A 16,626-nucleotide genomic window follows, 5' to 3' on the forward strand; every position below is an offset into this window, starting at 1 on the left:
TGGAGCCTGTGTGTTGCTGGGAGCTGCACTCAGGCCACTGAGATCAGGAGAGGCCTACAGGGACACACACCCAGCCCCTCCAGTCACTTCCCCCTGGATTGACTCTTTGAAAGTTCCCTGTGTCCAGTGTTAGCACCGCAGAGTGACACACATCTCAGACACTGCAAGAGCGTCGGGATTTATCAGCATCATTGGAAACAGATGTGCCAATGATGGAGCGACTCCTTAATACAGCTCTCCAAGGTCTCTGCCATCCATTGGAAAGGACTCATAAGGTCCCTCCAGCTTCCACTCCTGCCCATGCTCATTTAAAAACTACAACAAAGGCCAGGCTCAGTGGCTCACGCCTGTAATCCCAGCGCTTTGGGAGGCCGAGGCAGGTGGATCATGAGGTCAGGAGATTGAGACCATCCTGGCCAACATGGTGAAACCTCATCTCTACTAAAAATAGAAACATTAGCTGGGCGTGGTGGCACGTGCCTGTAATCCCAGCTACTTGGGAGGCTAAGGCAGGAGAATTGCTTGAGCCCAGGAGGTGGAGGTTGCAGTGAGCTGAGATCATGCCACTGCACTCCAGCCAGGGCTATAGAGAGACTCCATCTCAAAAACCACAACACATAATCTAAAGATGGTGCTGGCTGAAACAGAGCAAACAAAACAGGAAAAAACACTGAAATGAAACCTGTTCTTCCTGCATGATCCAGCAACTGGGCTCCTTGGGATTTATCCAAGGGGTTGGGAACGGTCCTCACAGACCCCTGCCCAGGGATGTTCACAGCGGTTTTATTCGTGTGGCTGAAACCTGGAGCCACCACAATGTCTGTCAGTGGGTGGGTGAATGAACTGTCGCTCCCTAACCCGACAGCAGAATGCTTCCTAGCACTGAACAGAAACGAGCTCTCAAGCCACGAAAAGATGTGCAGGAGCTTTCCTGCATATTCCAAGTGAGAGAAGCTGGTCTGAAAGGCCACAGAGTATATGATTCCAGCTGTTTGTTGTTCTGGAAAAGGCACCTGTGGAGACAGTAGAAGGACCAGTGGTTTGCAGGCTTGGGGACTGGGGAGGAGGGTGAATAGGCAGAGCACAGAGGACTTCCTGGGCAGTGAAACCACACTGTGTGATACGACAATGCTGGGGACAAGTCGCCGGCATTCGTCCAAACCCACGGAGTGCCCAGCACCAAGTGTGTGCCCCCATTTGGGGACTGTGGACCATGCAGGGCTCCTCCGTTGCAGCCAATGGGCCACTCTGCTGGGGGTGTTGATCTTGGGGGAGGCTGCGGGAATTGGGGGCAGGGAATATGGGAACTCTCTGAAACTTCTGATCAATTTTCCTAAATGCTCTAAAAAAATAAAGACCATTTTTAAAAAGTCAGAGTCACTCATACGGTTGGAGGAGAAGACCTTCCTTTTGGTCTGAATCTTGACTTTCTTGAACTGGGAGTAGATTCCTGTTCGAAAACACAACTCAAGGAAAATCCCATTGTGTCATGGGGGACTTAGGAAGAGAGGGCAAGTGACTGCTATCACTAAATAGTGTTGGGTTCCAGGTCTGGCTCTAGACTAACAATAACATGCTGAGTGATTCATCTTGAAGGTTGGGGTTTGGATTCTCAGGTAAAGTTTGAACCCACTGTGATATGTCACTGGCCATAAAAATGCTTCTTGGCCATTGATATGGTTTGGCTGTGTCCCCACCCAAATATCATCTTGAATTGTAACCCCCCACAGTTCCCATGTGTTGGGAGGAACCCGATGGGAGGTAATTGAATTATGGGGCCGGGTATTTCCTGCGCTGTTCTTGTGATAGAGAATGAGTCTCATGAGATCTCGTGATGGTTTTAAAAACGGGAGTTTCCCTGCACAAGCTCTCTCCTGTCTGCCACCATGTGAGATGTGCCTTTCACCTTCTACCATGATTGTGAGGCCTCCCCAGCCATATGGAACTGTAAGTCCAATAAACCTCTTTCTTTTGTAAGTTGCCCAGTCTCGGGTATGTCTTTATCAGCAGCATGAAAACAGACTAACACAGCCATGATAAAGCCTTGCTTGCTCTGCCCACTGGCAGGACTCAGGCGTCACTGTGCGGATGTGATGGGGCATGAAGAGCTCTCCAAGACCCTGCCTAGGGTCACAGCTAAGCCCCAGAGCCCTCACCTGTGCTGTCTGTGCCGGCCTTGAGGCCGTTCCTCCACTAAGCCTACCCTGTGGCTTTCCTGCAGCTTGGTGCTGAGGGAGTTTGCCCACCCTCTCCTCTGTCCTCCTGGCATCCTTCTCAGTGTCTATGTACCATCTCATTTCCCCGACTAGATGGAAAGTTCCCTGAGTATTGATTGAAGCGCAGGCCCTGCTGTGTTCCCTAGGGTGGTGAGAGGATGGTAGCATTTTCTGAGGACATGGGTGGAGTCACACAGGGTTATGGCTGCTGAAGGAGGGCCATACTCCCAGAGGCCTATGGGCATCAGGGCATTAGTGAGGCTTTCAGGGGTGATGGACCCCCTCCTGGCAGTTCTGAGGCCATGCATCTGCTGGGGTGAGCTGTCCTAGCTGCCAAGTGCCTTGCTGGCCTGAGCTGTGGCCACTGGGCTGGGCTCTGTCCCTTGCATCTGACTCCTCTTCCCCCAGCATGCACCGAGGGAGGAGGGGCTCTTGGGACCATGGGCTCAGGGCCGGGCAGGGTGCATTCAGACACCTCTCTGCCTACTCAGTCCCCCTCCTTGTCTTTGGCATTGACACCTTTGTGGGTTAAGAAGTATGTGGAAGTCCCAACCCCCAGTACTTTAGAGTGTGACCTTATTTGAAAATCACATTGTTGCAGGTGTAATTAGCTAAGGTGAGGTCACAGTGGGATGGGCCCTGATCCAGTCAAACTGGCGTCATAGGAAGAGACGCAGAGGAAGACCACAGGGAGGAGCCCTGTGGGGGCGGAGGCGGGGTGGGCACTGCAGCCCAAAGCTAAGGACTGAGGTCCAGAGCAGGTGGGGACTGGAAGGGGCTGAGGGGCGCGGTTTTAAGGTCCTGACACTCTGACTGCAGGCTTCCAGTTGCTTTTGTTTTCAACTTCTGTCTTGCAGTGCTGTTACGGCTGCCCTAGGTGTCTCGCGCAGGGCCCCGTCTTGCACGTGGGAACCACTGTCCTTCACTCAACACTGAGGCACCACCGAGTGGATGAATCCCTGGGCTGTGAGGTCTGGGAAGGATCCACCTGGCCAGTGAGAGGCACCTGGGAATATCTGTGGGCCTGCTGGAAGATGAACCCTTTTCCACAGAGGGGTTTGCACACTGTGCTCCTAGGAACGCTAAGGGTTTTTAGAGACCCCAGAGACTGAGAGATGGAGGGGCAACCCTGCCCACCCTGTTCTGGCAGAGAAGCGCCCCACTGTTCGCTTAATTTATATATACTCATATTCCATATGAAAAATAATGCCCTAGATACAAATTTTCACACTTCTAAACTCTTAGCTGGTTGGGCTCAAGAATGATGGTTTGTTCCCTTTTTCATCCCCTAAGTGAAAAACAAAAGCCTAAATTTCAAATTTGCAGATAAGAAAACCAAGCCAGAGGTCACATAAAACCCAAGGCTTCTGACTCAGCACGAAGACCAAAATTCAGATACTTGAATACGCCATGAACTCTGTTAGTAAACATCACTGTATTCCTGTGGGGAGGTTTACGGGTTAGAACAAAACAGACCTTGAGTTCTTAGTCCATGGACAGAGTTATTTCCCGCCTTGACCCGCACATTGCCATGTGCTGAACAGAGAAACGAGGGGCGATGGGGCTCCGTGAAGGAGCACGAAGGAGCTGCGTGCGGAGCGTCCTGCGGTGGGAGCGGTCCTGATTTGCTGTTCACACAGTCGGGACCCTTCTCACAGTCTCACATGAGCCCTGCATTCAGGTGCCCAGAAGGAATGAACTTCAGAAGCTGTAACAGAGGGACACACGCTTCCCATCCCCACCTCCCGCTCCTCAGCCCCTGCTTCTCCTTTCTCTCTCTCCCTTTCTCATATGGGTTATTTAATTTCCTCCCAAGGGTTCCATGCTGCCTTTGTCAGGTGCTGTCACTGGCAGGCACTTGTTTGAGTGAAGCCATCTCCATTCTGTAATTAGAGTCTGGGCAGGGAGCATCCGGAGACCCCGGGCAGGACTCTGTGGGAGGGTGAGCCTCACCTCACCTCGAACGAGGGGCTGCTCAGGCCCAGACTGAGAACAGCGTGCGGGGAACAAACCCTTCCATTGTTATCCGCACGCGCCAAACCAGCTCCTTTCAAAATGATTTCTAAAATCACTGCGATCACAGAGCTCCTGCTCACTCCTGCCCCTTCAAGCCAGAGGGCCTCACCCTCAGAAGCAGAGGTCCCATGGTCTAGACACGCCCAGTGGGTAAGTGTAGCATGCCTACCTTTTTTTTTTTTTTTTTTTTTTTGAGAAGGAGTCTCACTCTGTTTCCCAGGCTGGAGTGCAATGGCACTATCTTGGCTCACCACAACCCCCACCTTCCCGGTTAAAGGATTCTTGTGTTTCAGCCTCCCGAGTAGCTGGGACTACAGGCATGTGCCACCATGCCCAGCTAATTCTTGTATTTTTAGTAGAGACAGGTTTCACCACATTGGCCAGGCTGGTCTTGAACTCCTGGCCTCAAGTGAACCACCCACCTTGGTTTCCCCAAGTGCTAGGATTACAGGTGTGAGCCACTGTGCCTGGCCTCCTGCCTGCTTTTTTAATGCATATCAGATTAACTCTTCAGTGTGACAACAGCCATTTACCAAGTGGCACCATTGCATGCTCCACCAAAGTCTGAGGGGACAAGCGGGGCTTCCCCCAACCTGGGCTGGATCTGTTCCTCCAAGTAACAAAAATGTGTTCTTGTAACGTGCACCATGGCGTCCCATTTTTCCTGATTGGGTTCAGTCTGAAAGCACAAGAGGTGGGTAATGTCTGAGAGAGGACTTCAGGGAGAGGAGTTTAGGGCAGCAACTGGTCAAACAGGTCAGCCAATAGGAAGAAAAAGATTGGTAGTGTTTAAATGGTTCTTCATCAACCCCAGAATAGGTGGTAGATGAATGAATGAAATTCCTACTTCAGAGAAAGTGATGCCAGATGTTTAGGATGTGGCCCAGCCTGCTTTCCCAGCTCCGGAGTCCCACATGTCCTCCCTCTTGGATGTGCGAATAGAAACGGCAATATGATTTGCACTGAATTTGTAACAGAAGAGATTGGTGGTTTTGGAATTTCAGAATGTTCAGGGCAGCCTCTTCTGTGTGAGACATGTTGCAACACAGGGCTCTTGTCTCTACAGCGTGTGGACAGCGCGCGCCCTCTACAGCGTGTGGGTGCGCGTGCTCTCTACAGCGTGTGGATGCGTGTGCCCTCTACAGTGTGTGGATGTGTGTGCAGATGACAGGGCTGGTCACTGGAAGCAAGACAGGCACTTCCAACCATCTCAGCTTCATGGGTATCTTCTTGTGGCCAAGCTGGAACCGAACCTAGACCATGGGAGGTTCTGGAGGAGAGAGGCTAGATCAGGCTGGGTACTCCTACAGGACGGGACGAGTGTGAAAAGGCTGCCATTTCATTGTTTCTGCAGGTGACATCCATCCTGTTAAAAAACAAAGAGCCCGAACCCATCGTACATGAAAACAACAATTGTGTGGTTCCTCTCCTTCCCCAATGTCAGGCTGTTCCGTGAACATGCTTCATCCTGGCCCCATCTCTGGGAGGACAGGTACTTGGCAGGAATGATGTCTCTTTCCCTCACAGATGGAAAATTTGGGACATAAAGAAGTGAGGATGCATTCAGCTCATCTCTCTGGCAGAATCAAAAGTGGAGTGGGGTGTCTGGAATCTGGGTGGGCAGACCTGTCAACTACTGTCCTCGGGAGAGACGGAACAGGGCAGGATGGGCCCTAATGAATGCAAAGACGAGACTCGAGAGAGAGGAGGAGAGAGGAGCAGAAGCCTGGAGCTGAGCGCAGCAGGGCCCTGTGTCCCCTCGAGTGCGTATGTGCTCAGGAGGAGTGGGTCAGGCGGGAAGTGGAGTGAGCCCTGCTGGCGACCAGCTCCCATCCCCTGCTTCCTCTGTGCAGGCACAGTACCTACCACAACCCCGAGACAGATGCAGCAGTCACCCCGTTTTCCAGTGAGAACCTTAAGGAACTGGACGGTTCCGAAACTTCCCATGGTTGCACAGCTCAGGATTTGTCTCAGCCGTCTCCAAAATCCAGCCCTAAGCTACCCTGCTGCATGGGTCTGAATCTTACTGGCTGGGAATGCCAGGGGTGCTTGGCTCCATCTGAAATTCCCTCCTAGGCTAGTGGAGCATCCCAGGCTCAAACCTGATCTGGGAGCGGGACTGGTGTGGAGGACAGGCCCAGGCAGCCTATTCTGAGCCTCTGTCTGCAGAACTGGACCAGGGGTGAGCACAGGGCTCCTGTGGGGGAGCTTCTGTGCCCAACCTGGTGTGGAGCTCTAAGCTGGAAGCACCCGGGTGAATTGCAGGAATGAGCCTTGGGTTCCTGGCTGCTAAAGTGGGGACAGCTTGGAAGATGAAGCGCTGGCCTCAGGGCATCGTGGCTTAGCTCCCGTGGAACAGATGAGGCCCAACTCTGAACAGGCTGGGCCTGTGGACTGTTTTTGCCTCCACTGGTGGATAAGGTCACAAGATGGAGTGAATCAGTAGGTGAAATTTGTGTAATTTTTCAGTTGCCCTGGGATCCGGTTGCGACGACCACAGTCTTGTCCAAGTGATCTGGGAGCGGCGTTTACTGGGACTCTGTGGTGTCTGCTCCGCCTGGCTCAGGGCGCTCTGCAGACGGAGTCTTTCCGCCCTCATGCTCCAGACACCCACGGTGCACATCCATCCCAGGCCATCACTCACCACCGCCCCTTTACCAACCTTTCCCTCGCCTTTCCCTCCTCCCTCCTCCCTCCTCTCTCTCTACCAGTGTATTCCTCCTGCTGACAGTACCTCTTTCTCCACATTGTGAAGGGACTTTGTGCTTCTGCCATTCAACTCTCACAGAAAGCGTTGCCTCCCATTTAGAACGTTTAGAAACCTCCAGAGTATTTATTTCCTTGCTTTGATTTGGACACAGAAGCAATTCTAGTCCTTTTTTTCTAAGCTGTGTGTGTGATGAAGATAGACACAGCATCGACACATTATTTCAGCCATTTCTATACCAGGGAATCATTCATTCATGGTTCTTCTTACTGCAAGCCCAGCTTTCAAGGGTGATTTTGACTTTCAGGGTAATATTCCAATATTTTGGGTAACATTTTCTCTCTGTAAGATAAAAGGTGTTTTTGTGGTGGCAGCTGCATCCTGTGCTTGGGGGAATGGACACGTACTACTTGTGTTAAGTGATCACTGCACGTGTTCACCGCCTCACCTCTCTCACCACGCCCACCCTTGGCTCTCACACCATCCCTGCTCTCCCTCTCTGCCTCATGCCAGGATTTCCTTCTATCTGGATTTTATTTTCCTTCGCCTCTCTCTGTTTCCAAATCCTCATCTCTTCTGTTTCACTGTTTCTTTTCACCGTCTTCAGATATCTTATTTAGATTTTTTCTATCTTAACCTTTTTTTAGTAAAAAGAAAATACCAGAGGTTTTTCTGATATATTCACTGATCATTTCTGAATTGACATACATTCAGCTATAAGGAGATTCTGAAACTACAGTGTGGCATGTGAGAGCAGATGCGTGTGACTGAGGTCGTGCCAGCACACCTGCAGTCCTGCAGACCTGGGAAGCTCCACTGACAGTTGCAAACCCCACGCCTGTGACTGCCTCCCCCACGGGGCAGGACCTGGCATGAGCAGAACCCACACCCAAAGTACTCTAGTTGAAATAGATGAGAAAAACAGAAAGCCATTAAATAACAGATCTGGAATCCATTCCACGTTTGCTGTGTGCAAAGCCCACGGTAGGTAATTTCACTGTTGAGGGTTCCTAGCCTCAGAGATGTCCTAAAGGCTGCATTAGCCACAGAGCCCAGGTTCGAGGCCAGCTCCCTCTGCACCAATGCCTCTGCTCTTCTCCAGCTCGCACTAGGAAGCACTGACCAGACCAGGCTGGTTAAATGGTCAAAGCAGACTCTATCCTAACGCACAAACCAGAGGTCACTTATCAAAGGCACTTCTGTGTTCACTTCATGAGGCCTGTGGACTTCTTTGGAACATCTCAACCTGATCTTAGCTCACCTCAGACTGCTCCCTGGGTTCTCCCTGACGTAACAACCTCGTTTCCGTCTCCAGCAACTGCCCGTTTTCCTCCTGGATGTGGCCAGAGCTCCTCCCCCGACCTGTGTGTCCACCCCAGCAGGCCCGCTGACCACCTAGAGCAGCGCTCTCCCACCTGGAAGTGGCCCTCCCGACATGCTCTATAGAACACCTTCCTTCAGGCATCATTGGCTGCCTGAGCTATGTCCAGGCTGGATAGAGGTGTAGGCTGAGGGAGGCCCTGGATCCTGGGGAGACTCTGTGCACACGCCAGGGAAGACGCTGGCCCCGGATCCTGGGAAGACTCTGTGTGCACACGCCAGGGAAGACGCTGGCCCCGGATCCTAGGAAGACTCTGTGTGCACACGCCAGGGAAGACGCTGGTCCCGGATCCTGGGAAGACTCTGTGTGCACACGCCAGGGAAGACGCTGGTCCCGGATCCTGGGGAGACTCTGTGTGCACACGCCAGGGAAGACGCTGGTCCCGGATCCTGGGGAGACTCTGTGTGCCCACGCCAGGGAAGAAGCTGGTCCCGGATCCTGGGGAGACTCTGTGTGCCCACGCCAGGGAAGAAGCTGGTCCCGGATCCTGGGAGGATTCTGTGTGCACACGCCAGGGAAGATGCTGGCCCCGGATCTTCGTGGGACTTTGTTGGTGTACACCAGGGAAGATGGTGGCAAAAGTGTGAGAGGCCGAGAGCTCCTCTCTCAGTGCCCCTCAGCTCAGAAAAATATAGGGCTTCAGCTGGGGCTCAGGTCTGCATGATTAAAACGGGCGTGAACGTATGACGGGCCTGAACTCCGAGTCCAGATGGAGCGTGCCCAGGGAGTGGCTCTGTGAGGTCTCCGGTCTCCCCTGCGGCGGCATTGCTATGCCTGTGCTGGCATCCGCCTCGGCCTGCACTGGTTCTCCTCACACTCCCTTCTTGATGTGTGCCCCCAGTAGCCAGAGCACACCTGCTCCAGCCCCCTTAGCAAACCCAGGGCCCCTTTCGTGTTCCCAAACCAACAATCCTGGCCTCATATGGGATGGGCCAACCCATTTTCCCCAGAGCTGGTGTGGAGCTCGCTAACCCCCTGGGTGGGGCGCTGCATATCACAGGAGTGGGGAACGGAACCAAAGTCGCCTGTTCTCAGGGACTGGGGCATGGTTGCTTAGGAAGCAGGCAGTGATGCCCAGCATGATGTGTTTCCTTTTATCTCCACTTCTGCCACTCTGCGGAGTCAGGCTCAGTCCATGCCCCAGGGATTGTGGGTCAGTGTCTCACGTGCTCTAATCAGAGACTCCAGGGACCTAACTCAGCATCCACATGGCTAAGGCAGCCGTGAGGAGTTCTCCAAGGCCCCTGCACCCCTACGTGACTTGTCCTGGTGGTGTGTTAGGCAGACTAGGGATGTTGGAAATGGATTTTCATTGGTTGGCAAGTGTGTGGATGAGGAAGGAATGTGTTCTGGGGCCGTGGCCCCTGCATGACTGGTGAGTCCAGCAGCCCTCGTACCCTGGAGCAGGCTCTGTGTTTCTATCACCAGAGGCCTTGAGAGATGGGCAGCTTACCCCAAACTCAGCAGTCATCTTGTTGCCTTGGAGGGAGTTCCCTGCAAAGCACTTGGAGCATCTGGGAGATGCTGCTGCTGAATGCAGGTGTGTGCCGGAGCTCCGGTGACCAGGCTGGGGGAGCCGGGGTCCTCCCCTCTGCGGTCACATGGGCCGCAGGAGAACCAGCATCAGGGAGCCGCTTCCAAGCCAGAGTCTGAAGCCGAGTGGGTTATGGGGTTGGTGTGTTGTGAATCCCACACTTTTTAGCCACATGACGTAACCCCTCTGTACCTAAGTCCTTTCAATGAAGTGGGGGTGATAATGGCGCTGGCCTCATGGAGTTGTTGGATTTACTGAGTTAAGATGCCCTGAGTGCTGAGGATGTGGGTGACAGAGAGGGCCCCCCCGGTGCTGGCCAGTCTCGCTGTCCTGAGGGCCGCCAGCGCCATTCCTCCTGAGCAGCCCCTTGGACAAGGGTGGTGACGAGATGAGCGAGTGTTGGCCGACACATGTGTTTGGAGGGGCTTGACTGGGTCTCACGTCCCCATTCCCTGTCTTCAGGAACCAAGTGTGAGCCAAGGGGGGGAGGTGCAGGATGGATACAGGTGACCAGCCCCGGGGGCAGGAAGAGCTGAGGACCCATGGCAGCAAGAGGCCCCTTGGCATGTGGACTGACTCCTCCACTTGAGCTGTTTCCTTATGTCCTCGACCTTAGGAAAAACCCCAAGCCTAGGCAGGCCTTGCTGAAATGCCAAGAGGGTCGCACATCGACGGCTCACCTGGGGACACCAAGGGGCTCCAACGCCACCTTGCGGTGGGGGGTGGGGGTGGTGCGTGATAAAAACACATACCTAGTCCTTGCTCCTGTCTCCTGGCAAAGAACTCCTAAAACACTTGGAATTCCCTGAGTGGTAGGAGGTAGTGCCTTTCCTTCTTCCTTTTCTATATTTTCAAGACGGAGTCTCGCTCTGTTGCCCAGGCTGGAGTGCAGTGGCACGATCTCAGCTCACTGCAACCTCCGCCTCCTCGGTTCAAACGATTCTCCCACCTCAGCCTCCCAAGTAGCTGGGACTACAGGCAACCGCCACCACTCCCAGCTAATTTTTTAATATTTTTAATAGAAACAGGGTTTTACCATGTTGCCTAGGCTGGCCTTGAACTCCTGACCTCAAGTGATCCGCCCACCTTGGCCTCCCAAAGTGCTGGGATTATGGGCATGAGCCACTGTGCCTGGCCTTTTCTTATTCCTGAGGAACCCCTTTGATGTTGGGTCTGTGCTAATGAGGTGATGTGTGTCCTCCTCTCCCCACCAGCCACAGGGTGAGAACTTTCAGTCTCACCCTCTGACATCCAGTGACCTCATCTCCCCCCAAAAACCAGCCACAGGGGTGAGAACTTGTGGCCTCAACCTCCGACCTCCAGGGAGGGAAGAAGCACTGGGGTTGAGCCCCGTCAGTCATGCCTTTGGGATGAAACTCTGCATGGAAACCCTGGAAAGACAGGGCTGGAGAGCTCCTGGCTGGTGAGAGTGTCAGTGGTGGGAGGGCAGTGTCTGGAGAGGCGTGGAAGCTCCGTGCCACCCTCCACTCCTGCAGCCCCAAACCTTGCTGGCCTACGCATCTCTTATCTGGCCACGTATTTGTATTCTTCAAAATAAACCTGTCACTTAACGCGCCCGCCTCCCAAAAGCTCCACGTGCTTTGCAGGGAAATCCCTCCAAGGCACCGAGGTGACCGCTGAGTTCTGGGTAAGCTGCCCATCTCACAAGGCCTCAGGTGACAGGAACACAGCCCACTGCAGGGTGCCAGGGCTGCCGGATTCACCAGCCCCTTAGACCACTCATGCGGCATTTTTCAAGTTCCGTAAGTCATTCTAGCAATGACAAAACCTAAAGAGGGAGTGTGGGAACCCCAGAGTGTATAGCTGACAGAAGTACGGGTGGTCTGGGAGCCAGGAGCTTGTGGCTGGCATCTGAACAGGGGCAGCCTTGTGGGATGAGCCCCTTAGCCTGTGAGGTCCGTGCTGACCCCAGGTAGCCAGTGTCAGGATTGAGCTGAACCATTGGACACCCAGGTGGTGTCAGAGAGAGGAGGCCAGGACACACTGGGTGAACATCTGACGCTCCAAGCTTGTTCATGCCGCTCTCCCAGCCCCACAGCCGCGTGTGCTCTTCATAGTAAAATACACTTCCCAGAAGCCTCCCTGGAGGCAGCAGGTCGCCTCTGACTGGAAGCAGGAAGGCTGTAGGGTGTGAGCAGAGGTTGGGGGGTGAACGCACATTTCCTTCTCCAGAATTAGGGAGCATTTTCTAGATGTGTGGAAGTATTTCCTGGGGGGAAGGTTGAGTGAGGACAGGTCCGGTGCATTTGGGGGCCCAGTTCTCCCTCTGGGTGCAGGTGGGTGTGGCTGGGCTTTGCACTCTCTGATAAGGCATGGGACGGCCATGCCCATCCCCGGGGACCGCCTATGACTTTGGAGCCTAAGATGCCTATCACGGGAGCAATGTTGCTGGACCAAATTCAGAAAATTCTCGTTAATACGGAAGGATTTAAAATAGAAACTTCCTAACTCTGGGTTGAACCTGGCTCACTTTCTTACTGTTACATATGCAGGAATAGAGGGTAAAGTAGCTGATACCAACCCTGATTCTAATTCTGAATGTGCATTCACTGTCACAAGCTATGAGCCGACTACTACAAAGGTAGGGCCAGATTCTCCATCTTTTGAGAATTGGAAAGGGGGGAACGAAGGGGTGAGTACACAATGCAAGCACTGATTTAACATGTCTAGGCTATAATTTTGAAGCATGAAGTAGAATAAGATAAAAGCTGGACAATGAATAAAAAAATGGAGTCGGATTTAATCCTAGCGTAATTTTTAGATTTTCTTCTTGAGAAGTGAATGACAGTTTCACCTGCTTCTTGAAATGTCTAGTGAATCTTGAACGTCTCCTATAATACCATCAGACTTATAGAAAGTATCTTCCCAAGCTAGCTAGAGGCTCTGAGGAAACAGTGACGTTTGTTATGTCATATTCTGATCAAGGCACTCACGCATGTCACTGCTTGTCAGCAAGGGGGGATGCGGCCACTCAGGATGGATCAGGGGGAACTTTGGTTGCTTGTGATCACATGGTTATTTCATTTCCTTGGCCTCCTTGGTTATAATCTGTTGCAAAGCTCTGATTTTCAGAGGTCTCAACTCTCCCTACAGGACAAAGATTGGCAGGATATCCTGAAACTCTGGAAGATCAGATGTAACTTTCTGGAACTCAAATTATATAGTTCTGCTGATGGGATAAGGAAGCTGCCTACAGGATAAGGTATTTTCTTGTTGGCACAGTGGTTTTATTTCTTTGCTTCCAAATTCTGGAAGCCAGGGAAGTCTTTGGTTGAAAGGGAGTTTATGTGCTTATGGATGAGGCGGCAGGAAGAGAACCAATTCACTGTGGTGGAAAGAAGCTCTACATTGTTTGGAAATGTGAGTGAGGGTTCACAATTCCAAAGATCTTTTCCTTTTTTCCTTTAAGTAAACAAACTCCTATAGTATTTGAATCCATGGTTTTCCGTAATTGCCTTGCTTCTTGGCATTCAGCTGCAGTCAGAGTATAATATGACACTCAGGATTTCCTCTTTCCGAGTTCTCTAGCCAGTATATCTAGTCTAAGCCATTGCACAGTGGTATTTTATTGAGCAGCTACTGATGTGGCAGGTGTCCACTTGAATAAAGGTGCACCTGCCTTTGAGGGGTTCACAGTTTGACAAAAAGGCTGGGTTGTCCCATGAGCAAATTGCAGGTGTGTCTGACAGGAACACCCAGTCTGATTTTGATATCCTTTTTGGCTTTCTGGACAGTGCCACAGCTGGGAGGATAAATGCCCTTCCATGGTCAGTGCGCCCTTTGTATTTATTTTGAACATAAAATCACTGACTGGGGAGTGTGCATCTATTTTGTACATGATTTTGCCCCTCAGATTTAGGGCTCTTAAGGGTTGAGAGCACCTACACTTTGTAGGTGTCACTGGGTGGCAAATCAGAAAAGCAGGTTGCCAGGGCCCCACAACAGGGATGCCAAGCTGACCACGCAGGACAGGCCCGGAAGCTTCTATTTCTCATCATCCGCCAGGTGACTGTGCTGGTAGGGGTGCGAGACCCACATTTGGAGAAAAGGTCCCGCCACCAGGTGGTCACACAGGCTGCAGCCTCATCTCCCAGCTCCCCCAGATGGGCTCAGGCTGGGCCCGGCCCTGTGCCCCTGCCGAGGAGCTGCCCTTCTCTCCCTCTGGCTGTCGCTTCATTCTGTAGCCTCGAATGTCACCACTCCTCGAAACGCGGGCCCAGCGTCTTCCAGGGCGCTCCTCCGGTCTCACTCTTTGAGTCCCCCCCACACTCTGGGACTCTCCAGTCAGCTCTGGTCCGGCTCATGCAGACACCAGTTGGTAAACAGGAGGTGCTCAACGAGTGTTGGCTGGTCATAGAGCGTGCCTCATGGATGTTCCGCTTCTAGCTTTTATCTTCATCAGCTTGGGTTGTTACAACACAGTACTGCAGACTGGGTGGCTTAAACAGCTGACATTTATTTCTCACTGTGGCGGAGGCTGGAAGTCCAAGGTCAGGGTGCCAGCTGTTTCGTTCCTGGCGAGGGCCTCCTCCTGGCTCACAGATGTCCTCACCATGTCCTCACGTGGTGGAGAGAGGGAGAAAGAGCCCTCTCTCTTTTCCTTGTCTTACAGGGCCACAGACCTATTGATCAGGACCCCACCCTCATGACCTTATCTAACCCCAGTTACCTCCCAAGACCCCATCTCCGAATCCGGTCACGCTGGGTTTAGGACTTCAACATATGAGTTTGGGGAAGATGCAGTTCAGTCCACAGCAGCTTTGCTACTTGCTAGAATTTGTAACCCCCCCAAAATGAATAATCTTGGAGATTTTGCGGTCGTTTGCAGGCATGCTTAGAATGGTAAAACGGTAAAACATGTGTCACTGGGCCAGGCGTGGTGGTTCACGCCTGTCATCCCAGCACTTTGGGAGGCTGAGGCCGGTGGATCACTTGAGGTCAGGAGTTTGAGATTAGCCTGGCCGACATGATGAAACCCGTCTCTACCAAAAAAATACAAAAATTAGCCAGGCATGGTGGTGCACGCCTGTTGTCCCAGCTACTAGGGAGGCTGAGGCAGGAGAATCGCGCGAACCTGGGAGGTGGAAGTTATAGTGAGTCGAGATCGCGCCACTACACTCCAGCCTGGGTGACAGAGTGAGACTCTGTCTCAAAAAAAAAAAAAAGTGTCACCAGACGTGCGTATCCCCAGATGATAGCAAGCAAGGAGATACTGAGACTTCCTCTCATCCTGTGGACAGTGTCCTTTTTGCAGTCTCTCGAGTGCCATGTTTTTCAAATTTCTGTGCTTTTGCTGGTGATTTCACTATGTAAGATGACCCACGAGAACAGGACTGAAGGGCTGTCTAGGGTTCCTAAGTGCAAGAAGGTTGTGCTGTGCCTCATGGAGATAACATGTGTGTTCAAGAAGCCACTCAGGCATGCTGCTGGCTGTGAGTTCAATGTTAATGACTCCACAATCCATATTGAATAATGTGTTATTAAATAGAAACAAACATTAAACAAGGTCATGTATGAATTGATTGACAAAACTGTTGTGACCAGATGTATTTCTCTGGGAGCAAAGGCTCAGTACTTGCAAATTCAGTATTCACAGTAGCTTTAGAACGTCACCACCATCAACGTTTCACTTTAGAACTGACTGTATATTGTTAATGAACAGGCTGCGTGTGCAGAAACCGAAGCCCTAAGAAAGGCAAAATATGCATGGGTTACTTGTCTTTTGTTGTCAGCCCAATGCCAAGCACTGAGATATCTGTAAGCACATGAATTCTTGATGGAAGTTTGCTTTTGTAAATGATCAGCCTTGACATTGTGGAAATACAGTGCTAGTGGTTACGAGATTGTAGCCACTCTGGGGCCAGGACGAGGGGAGCCATGGAAAAGGATTTAGCACAGCTGACATCTTCCTGTGTTCTACCAAACAGTCATGTTCAGGTGCCTTTAAGTCATTCAGTTTAGAGCAATGATTCTGAGAACCTTCAAGGCACATGTGGCAACCCCGAGACCCCAGAGGATCTCCTGTGAGAAGCCCCAGATTTCAGGTGGAGCCCCATGGGGCGGGTGGTTGGGGATGAGTTCGAGGCGGCAGGGTTGAGCCGGGCCAGCCTCTCCTGGTGTGTGCGATCACCTGGGAAGGACGCGTGGCTCCTATATCAACCCAGCTCCTCCCCGGAAGACAGCCAGTATAATTTCTGTGCTTGAGAACCTGTCTGAGAGAGAGAGAGAGAGGTGACAGATTGCTTGACTCTGACAGAGAACTGAGAAAACATTGATGCTGTTTGAATTCAACAAGTCTTTTGAAAATGCAATGGCCAACGGGGGGAGTTTTACCTTTTCTCTGGCATGTTTTAAAATACGAGCACTCCTTACCAAACAAAACATTGAAGATCACAAATTCTTCGCTTATAAATCCTGACTGTGCTGGATGAGTAAGGCAGGAGAGGAGAAGGGTCCCCAGGCTGATGACAGGTTTTAAGGCACCTTTCAGTGCTGGTTGGCCAAAGTCATTGGATCTCACCTGAGGCTTCTACGTGAACAGGCTGTTGGCTGGGGGCCTTGAGGACACCAAGTTATTACACTGCAGGCTCTATTTGCATAACCGCAAGTGCAGGTTTCTTTGGCAACCCCACTAGCTTAGCCATTATTGCTCAAATTTTAATGAAAGGAAAAGTGCCGTGCATGTGGAGAAAGTCATTTAAACAAGAACTACCTGTATCATTTAAACATGTACCCCTAAACCACTCTTGTG

The 16,626-nt window shown here is 51.9% G+C and overlaps 1 long non-coding RNA gene across 1 annotated transcript in view, besides 4 other annotated features; it reads left to right on the top strand.

Moving 5' to 3' along the window:
- Positions 6,959-7,128: an enhancer, noted in NCBI's record as "experimental_32439 CRE fragment used in MPRA reporter constructs". NCBI's record gives its function as "activates a minimal promoter by MPRAs in K562 erythroleukemia cells, with activity observed for both the introgressed and non-introgressed 13:112052983 variant alleles {active_cell/tissue: K562}" and the evidence as "EXISTENCE:reporter gene assay evidence [ECO:0000049][PMID:34662402]".
- Positions 9,210-9,755: an enhancer, noted in NCBI's record as "H3K4me1 hESC enhancer chr13:112055149-112055694 (GRCh37/hg19 assembly coordinates)". NCBI's record gives its function as "activates a minimal SCP1, AML or CMV promoter by ChIP-STARR-seq in naive H9 embryonic stem cells {active_cell/tissue: H9 hESC(naive)}" and the evidence as "EXISTENCE:reporter gene assay evidence [ECO:0000049][PMID:30033119]".
- Positions 9,756-10,301: an enhancer, noted in NCBI's record as "H3K4me1 hESC enhancer chr13:112055695-112056240 (GRCh37/hg19 assembly coordinates)". NCBI's record gives its function as "activates a minimal SCP1, AML or CMV promoter by ChIP-STARR-seq in naive H9 embryonic stem cells {active_cell/tissue: H9 hESC(naive)}" and the evidence as "EXISTENCE:reporter gene assay evidence [ECO:0000049][PMID:30033119]".
- Positions 10,302-10,845: an enhancer, noted in NCBI's record as "H3K4me1 hESC enhancer chr13:112056241-112056784 (GRCh37/hg19 assembly coordinates)". NCBI's record gives its function as "activates a minimal SCP1, AML or CMV promoter by ChIP-STARR-seq in naive H9 embryonic stem cells {active_cell/tissue: H9 hESC(naive)}" and the evidence as "EXISTENCE:reporter gene assay evidence [ECO:0000049][PMID:30033119]".
- LOC107984618 (uncharacterized) overlaps positions 12,847-16,626 on the top strand; it is a 46,289-nt gene continuing 42,509 nt past the window's right edge. Inside the window, exon 1 of the long non-coding RNA XR_001750032.2 lies at positions 12,847-13,077. This is a non-coding gene — a long non-coding RNA (uncharacterized LOC107984618). The remainder of the gene's footprint in view (positions 13,078-16,626) is intronic.

This window comes from Homo sapiens, chromosome 13 (assembly GCF_000001405.40).
Source record: "Homo sapiens chromosome 13, GRCh38.p14 Primary Assembly".
NCBI lineage: Eukaryota > Metazoa > Chordata > Mammalia > Primates > Hominidae > Homo > Homo sapiens.